This window comes from Homo sapiens, chromosome 5 (assembly GCF_000001405.40).
Source record: "Homo sapiens chromosome 5, GRCh38.p14 Primary Assembly".
Taxonomy (NCBI): Eukaryota; Metazoa; Chordata; class Mammalia; order Primates; family Hominidae; genus Homo; species Homo sapiens.
In genome coordinates, this window is record NC_000005.10 from 97,053,947 (window position 1) to 97,062,259 (window position 8,313).

An 8,313-nucleotide genomic window follows, 5' to 3' on the forward strand; every position below is an offset into this window, starting at 1 on the left:
TTTTCTAGTTTGTGCACATAAAGGTTTTCATAGTAGCTTGAAATGATCTTTTATGTTTCTGTGGTATTGGTTGTAATATCTCCCATTTCTTTTCTAACTGAGCTTGTTTGGATCTTCTCTCTTCTTGGTTAATCTTGCTAATGGTCTATCAATTTTGTTTATATTTTCAAAGAACTAGCCTGTTGTTTCATTTATCTTTTGTATTTTTTGTTTCAATTTCATTTAGTTCTACTCTAATCTTAGTTATTTCTTTTCTTCTGCTAGGTTTGGGCTTGGTTTGTTCTTGCTTCTCTAGTTCCTTGAGATAGATTGTCTGTTTTTGCTCTTTCAGACATTTTCATGTAGGCATTTAATGCTATGAAATTTCCTCTTGGCACCACTTTTGCTGTATCCCATAGGTTTCAATAAGTTGTGTTACATTGTTCAGTTCAAATAATTTTTAAATTTCCATCTTGATTTCATTGTTGGCCCAAAGATCATTCAAGAGCAGATTATTTCATTTCCATGTATTTATATAGTTTTCTGGGTTCCTTTTGGAGTTAATTTCCAGTTTTATTCCATTGTGGTTTGGGAAAATACTTGATATAATTTTGACTTTCTTAAATTTATTGAGACTTGTCTTGTGATCTATCATATGGTCTATCTTGGAGAATGTTCCATGTGCTGATGAAAAGAATGTGTGTTCTTCAGTTATTGGATAAAATGTTCTGTAAATATCTGTTAAGTACATTTTTTTAATCTTTATGTTCTTTCATTGGAGCAAGATTCCTGATCGGTATACAGTGATGTATTTATTAAACATAGGCCTGTGCAGAAATTACATGCTATCCATCTAGATAGGTTGTTACACTTTTGCCTATTGATGGAATAGTTCCATTTATCAAGTCTTATACATCAAAAAACTTTTGAATTTCACCAGACTGTCCATTAATTTACCTCTGAAAAAGTGGCACTTAATTTCAGCTACTATATTTTACAGCATTAAAAAGCTTATGCATTAGGGTGTGCCTCTTTGCACAATGGCATTGAGCAGACAGAGCTGGGTCCATTATCCCACCCAGATTCACATAATGACACTTGAGAGCTTTATACCAGAGAGCAGGGACAGTTACTGCTAACCATCACAGACTTCTTACTCTGAGAACCTATATTCTTGGCCACATTTTATATAGCCAATGAAGACATGCCAGCAACTGTCTCATGTATAACTTGGCATTAGAGCACCAGGTATGTTGGATAGTGGTGGCAGGCACTATTATTTTATATCCTGGTAAAAGGCTAATTTTAAAAACTGCCACTTGGAGATAAAAATCAAGGGCGCAATATACTCAGAAAGTATTGAGCAATCTGGTATTCCAAATGATATGAATACTTTCAGAAACCAATGGCAAATTGTACCCACATTTTTCAGCTATGGAGATATTAATACATTGATTCAAATCCCATTACTCAATCCACATAGCCCTGAGGTCATCCTGCAAAGTGCTTATCAAAAAATACGAAGTTAGGGTGACAAAGTTTGACAGTGATGTTATACAAGTCAAACTTGGAAGGTTATAGTAAGCATACCTAGGCTGAGAGGAAAGCATCAAATCCTTTGTGTACACATTTAATATTGTAACAAAACAATTTGTACACTTTTAACGTTTAAAACTGAGCATCATCTATCCTTTCCAGTGAAATAAAAAGAAAATTTAAAAATGAACAGGAACAAAATTACAATAGAGAATGTCAATTCCAAATAAGATCCTACAGGTTCTTCTGATTCTCCCATTGAGTGGCAGGGCTCAAGTTATCATTAGGAGAGAATTTATTTTAAAAGTATCATCTTAAACTGCAAGGATGTCTGTCAAGTATCACAATTAAACATGCCAAAGGAGAAGCCATGTTGTCAAAATGCCCACTTAACCACCCAAACATCTCAAACCCACCCTTTGCCGACCTTCTATAACCCCATTTTTTAAAGTTTTTTATTCTTTTTTTTTTAAACAAAAGAAAGCAGACAGATACATGTTGGTAAATGCCAACTGTCCATATTCACATAGAGACACAGTGTACTCTCTTGAGCCCAATATACAGAGAAAAGAGGAAAAAAGCTAGAATTCTATGCACTACTACACAGGGCCTAGCACCTTCCAGCTTCCAGCAGTGCGAAGGGAACAGGTTTTTCTTTTTTTCCCACAGAGCACAGTGGTGTCGAGTCCATACAGTTTTTGTTCAGACAGGAAGGGATAACAATGAATTTCGAACAGAAAGGGGTAGAGACTCTTTTCCCATTGTATTATGCTCAAGTTATTTCCCCCAAAATAAGTTGAGAGCCATGGTTTAGAGAACAGAGACCTCAAGAACAGGGTGAATGAGCACAAGAGGGGGGGAAAAAAGACTGCAACTTGCTCCCAGGGACTGGAGAAAATTTTAAAAAAAGGAAGGTTGGAATCCATCAGTGTTCTATTAGTCATTTTCTCCTTCATCCTCCTCTCCTTTCTCCCCTTCATCTTCATCTTCTTCACCTTCATCCTCATCCCCTTCTTCATCAATATCTTCTAATCCTTCCTCCTCTTCATCATCATCGTCATCTTCTTCTCCTTCTCCTTCTTCATTATCCATATCAGGAACCAAGTAGTACTGTAATGGATTTGGCCAAATATCTTTGATGACCTCTCCTAACTCATCAGCACCAACATCAGAATGGTCAGTAAACCAGGTAAAGAAGCTCTCTGGTTCCTCATGCTGCCTCTTCCTGTGAGCTTTATTCTGCGTTTGACTTGAACGTTTCATCAAATCCTTTCCATATTTCCATTTGATTTCGGTGGACTTTGAAGATGGATCACCACTCTCATTCAGATGAAATTCTTTGGCGAGAATGTTATTTTCAAAGTAAGGATTTTCATCAAAATAAAAATCTATTCTGTAACCTGATTTAATATCATCAAAGTCTGTCATTTCAACTCTGGTCAAATAATGCAGTGCCTCTTCGTCCTCCTCCCCAGGCAGTGCAGACACTTCTGGATGATTGACAAATATTGTTACCCAAAAATCTGGGATTTTGGAGATCAATTCTGACCTCTTCTGAAAAAAATGGTTGGCAGAGTTTGTTATATTTCTGTTCTACTTTCAAATCTCCTCACTGGCTTGTTCATTAAGTCTGTCCATTTCATTTTGTACTTCATGAATGTGTTCAATTGTTTCTTGCTGTTCTTTTTCTCCCTTCTTCGGCAAGCCTGCAGAGGCTGATGTCTTCTCCGGTCCCAGAGCAGGAAGTGGTCTTGGTTTCTTCTTTTGAGGGAGGAGTGGAGACTGGCATTTGGAGGCCATGCTGCTAGGGAAGTCCAAGAACCTCCAGTCCCAGAGCAGGAGGTGGTCTTGGTTTCTTCTTTTGAGGCAGGAGTGGAGACTGGCGTTTGGGGGCCATGCTGCTGGGGAAGTCCAAGAACAAGACTATGAGTCTCCTCGCTCATCTGGAAACAGGCAGAACTGTTAAGCCCATTTATTATAGGGTATAGATTAAATCCATTGTTTCTTTGTTGATTTTCTGTCTTGATGACCTGTCTAGTGCTGTCAGTGGAGTATTGAAATCCCCCACTATTATTGCATTGCTGTCTATCTCATTTTTTATGTCTAATAGTAATTGTTTCATAAATTTGGGAGCTGCAGTGTTAGGTGCATATATATTTAGAATTGTGATATTTTCCTGTTGGACTAATCCTTTTATCATTATATAATGTTTCTCTTTGTCTTTTTTTTTTTTTAACTATTGTTGCTTTAAAGTCTGTTTTGTCTGATATAAAAAGTGCCACTCCTGCTCGTTTTTGGTTTCCATTTGCATGGAATACCTTTTTCCACCCCTTTACCTTTATGTAAGTCCTTATGTGTCAGGTGAGTCTCTTAAAGGCAGCAGGTACTTGGTTGGTGAATTTTTATTCATTCTGCCATTCGGTATCTTTTAAGTGGAGCATTTAGACCATTTACATTCAACATTATTATTGAGATGTGAGGTACTGTTCTATTCATCATGCTAGTTGTTGCCCAAATACTTTTTTTCCCACTGTGTTATTCTTTTATGAGCCCTGTAAGATTTATGCTTTAAGGAGGTCCTATTTTGTGGTATTTTGAAGTTTTGTTTCAAGAACTCCTTTTAGCATTTCTTGTAATGCTGGCTTGGTGGTGGTGAATTCCCTCAGCATTTGTTTGTCTGAAAATACTTTACCTTTCCTTCATTAATGAAGCCTAGTTTTGCTGGATAATTCAATATTCTTGGTTGACAATTATTTTGTTTCGATAGGCTAAAGATAGGGCCTTGATCCTTTCTGGCTTGTAAGGCTTCAGCTGAGAAATCTGCTGTTAATCTGATTGATAGGTTTTCCTTTATAGGTTGCCCAATGCTTTTGTCTCATGGCCCTTAAGATTCTTTCCTTTGTCTTGACTTTAGATAACCTGATGACTATGTGCCTAGGTGATGATCTTTTTGTGATGAATTTCCCAAGTGTTCTTTGAGCTTCCCGTATTTGGATGTCTAGATCTCTCACAAGACCAGGGAAGTTTTCCTTGATTATTTCCTCAACTAAGTCTTCCAAACTTTTAGATTTCTCTTCTTCCTCAGGAACGCCAATTATTATTCAGTTTGGCCATTTAACACAATTCAAAATTTATTGGAGATGTTATTTATTGTTTTTTTATTCTTTTTTCTCTGTCTTTCTCTGATTGGGATAATTTGAAAGCCTTTTCTTCAAACTCTGAATTTCTTTCTTCTACTTGTTCTAATCTATTGAAACTTTCCAGCGCATTTTGTATTTCTCTAAGTGTGTCTTTCGTTTCCAGAAGGTTTGATTGTTTTTCTTTATGATATCTATTTCTCTGGAGAATTTTTCATCCCTATCTTGATTTTAAAATTTCTTTAAGTTGGTTTTCAACTTTCTCTGCTGCCTCCTTGAGTAACTTGATAATCAACCTTCTGAATTCCTTATCTGGCAATTCAGAGATTTCTTTTGGGTTTAGATCCATTGCCAGGGAGCTAGTGTGATCTTTTGTGAGTGTTATAAAACCTCGTTTTGTTATATTATCGGAATTAGTTTTCTGGTTCTGTCTCATTTAGGTAGACTATTTCAGTGGAAAGATATGGAACCCAAGGCCTGCTGTTCAGATTCTTTTGTGCTATGGGATGATCCCTTGATGTAGTGCACTCCCACTTCCATTAGGGAAGGAGCTTCCTGAGAGCCAGACTGCAGTAATTGTCATTGTTCTTCTGAATCTAGCCACCCAGTGGGGCTACAAGGCTCCAGGCTGGTGCTGGGGAATGTCTGCAAAGAGTCCTGTGATGTGATCCATCTTCATATCTCCCAGCCATGGATACCAACACCTGCTCTGGTGGATGTGTCAAGGGAGTGAATTAGACTCTGTGAGAGTCCTTGGTTGTAGATATGTTTAGTGTGCTGACTTTCTTAAATGCTGGTTATGCTAGTAGTGACATTGTCACATGGACAGACTCAGGACCTCTAGTTAGCCAGAATGTTGCAAGTGGTGGAATTAGCTGTTGTTTTCTCCTTCCCGTGAGCAGGGTTATTATGTCATGTGTTGCTGGAATGGCCTGAGTTGGTTTGCCTCCAGCCAGGCGGTGGCACTTTCAAGACAACACCAGCTGTGGTAGTAGTAGGGAGATGTAAGCTTGCCCTAAGTTGGCCAGGGTAAGTATTCTGGTTTCTCAGGTGATGGGTGGGGCCATAAAGTTCCCAAGAGTTTCTATCTTTTGTGTTCGGCTACCAGGGTTGGTAGAGAAAAAATATCAGGTTGGGGCAGGGTTACATGGGTCTGGGCTTAGACTGTCCTTGGGTGGGGATTGCCATGGCTGCTGTGTGGGATAGGGGGTGGTTCTCAGGCCAATGGTGTTGTGTTGCAGAGGGGATTATGGCTGCCTCTTCTGTGTCATATAGTTTGCCAGGGAAGTAGGGGATAGCCAGTAGTGAAAGGCCTCACCCAGCTGTCATGCAGTTGGTGAGTCTGGTCTTACTCCTCTAATGCCCTGCTCAGACCTTGTCCCAGGCTGTAAGCTTTCCCACTGAGAAAGCAAGCACAGCTTTCCCTGTCTGTCCACAATATTGTTGTTGGCTCCTGTGCTCATATCTACAGCAGTTTTGCCCCCCAGTTTGCCCCCCAGATTCTGTTCAAGAAAATTTGTGCCCAGTTGAAATTATTACAAATTTCAATTGGAAGCTACTTTCACCCTGTGACCCCTCCCTAGTTCTGCTGGCTGCCTTCCCCAAGGCCGATTGTGAGATATAGTCAGAGATGACTTCCCTGGGTTTGAGCTGGAGACTACAAGTGCCTACAGGGCTCTTCCCACTGCTGCTTCTACTTTTTTATTTTGTGTGGCTCCCTAAATCTGTTTCAGCTCTAGGTAAAGTTAAATCCTTCTCCCAGGATCTGGATTTTCAGATTCACCAGTGGGGATATGTATTTGGAGGCAGGTATTTTCCCTTTCACACTTTAGGAACTCACAGTTTTTTGCTTGTCTTACAGAATTTGCAGTGATGTACTGCTTCTTTCAAAGGATCTGTGAATTCTTTCAGTTTTCCTGGTACATTCCTGCTATGGTTCCTGGAGCAAAAGTTTACAGTGTGAGTCTCCACACACTGTTCTGTCCATCTAAGTGGGAGGTACATGTTAGCTCTGTCTCCTATTCACCACCTTTCTCCTGATCTCCAGGATATTTTAATTCTGTTATTAATTTCTCATTTAATTGCTTGGTAGTCATAGAATATAATCTGTGTAATGCCAGCTCTCTGACACTTGTTGACTTTTATCTATAGCTGAGAATACATTAATTTTTGTAAATATTCCCTGTGTGTTTGAGAAGGCAGGTCCAGGTGAAAGTTCATTCCCAGAGAGGATTAGCGATTTCTTCTGCAAGGTGCTTGGGCCCTCCATTAGCCTGAGTTCATTCTAAAATTAATTCTCAATGAAAATATGAATTTGTTCTGTAAACCCAAAGGAAGGCCACTTTGTGGTTTCAGTCTCAGGGATATTTTTTCCATTCACTCAGTGCAAAGGTTTTGGAAGTTTCTTTGCTGTCTTCTGTCTATGGCCTCTTTCATTTATCCTTTCACTGAGCTTTTAGTCATATAAAAAAGGGAATGTGATCTTTTCCACTTTTCTTTCTATCTATGGCAGAGACATGGGGAAACATTTCCACATCATAAAAATCTACAGCTCCAGTGCTGTGATAAATGCCCAATGCTGCTCAGCCTCAGGAGGAGAGTCACAGGGCATGCTGGGGCCTTGGTTCCTGGAGAACTTTCCTCCCCTTCTCACTGTCATTCCCCCAAACATACAGGCAATAGCAATTCTGGAGTTCAGTTTCTTCCTGGGAAGTCTTGTGCGATCTTCTGGTTTAAAACAAACATTTCTGATATCCCCATTTTCAAAAATGTATCATCTCTTGATTTCTAGATGTTGGCTCAGTTTTTTCTTTTTGAAAGCACTGTGCAGGCCAAATCTAACTTCCTGCAGGCAGAACATGGCCTGTGGGCTAACAGTTTGAGACCCCTATACTAGATGGCTTAAGATACATGTTATTATATGGCTATGCTATATATATTATATAACATATGAATGTGTTATATGTCTATGATATAACATAATATATGTTATATAATAACAAACATGTTATTCATATAGAAACAAAGTAATTTAGTAAATTGGGGCAAAGATTTTTTGTGTAGGGCATAAAAATATCTGAATATCTGGTTTCTAATAAATGCTGCCATTTCTCTAGCGATCTAGGGTTAAAATGTCAGCTAAGCACAGAGGGAGGAAAGTCTGCTGGTTCAACTGATGTTCCCCCAGCAGGGAGAGCCAGGCTCCCTGTTATCACAACAAGGCAATCCTGGTGATAAACTAGACATAATGTGCACACTGGATTAGATTCTTGCCTTCCCTCCTCTGCCCCACTCCACACACACATCTGTACTGTGAATACCAAATACTGATCATTTCTCTGTACAGCCCAAATGTCCACAGGATTTTCACCTCATAATATGTTGGAGTGTAAAGGTCCCCAAGAGCTACAGAGATTTGCAGAGGAAAAAATTCGCTCTGCCTTGGGTCCTCTGAGCAATGCTTGTGTTGCTGAAACCCGTGCCTTAATGATGTTGATCCGGGCTGCTCTCCGCTGCCAGCCTCTCGAGTGATCCAGGTAATCTGAGCTCCTGAGGCCTCTGGCCAGGCCACGCAGCCAGAAGGAAGTCATTTCCTTTCCCTTGGAGGTAATGCACATCCACAGGGCAAGGCCACGTGGTTCAAAGGCCAGCTTCACCTTTT

At 39.6% G+C, this 8,313-nt stretch overlaps 1 pseudogene, besides 1 other annotated feature; it reads right to left on the minus strand.

Annotated features, from left to right (window-relative positions):
• On the minus strand, positions 737–3,236 carry SETP22 (SET pseudogene 22; annotated as a pseudogene).
• Positions 8,019–8,313: a silencer, noted in NCBI's record as "tiled region #9279; K562 Repressive non-DNase unmatched - State 24:Quies". NCBI's record gives its function as "represses a minimal TATA promoter and a strong SV40 promoter by Sharpr-MPRA in K562 cells {active_cell/tissue: K562}" and the evidence as "EXISTENCE:reporter gene assay evidence [ECO:0000049][PMID:27701403]".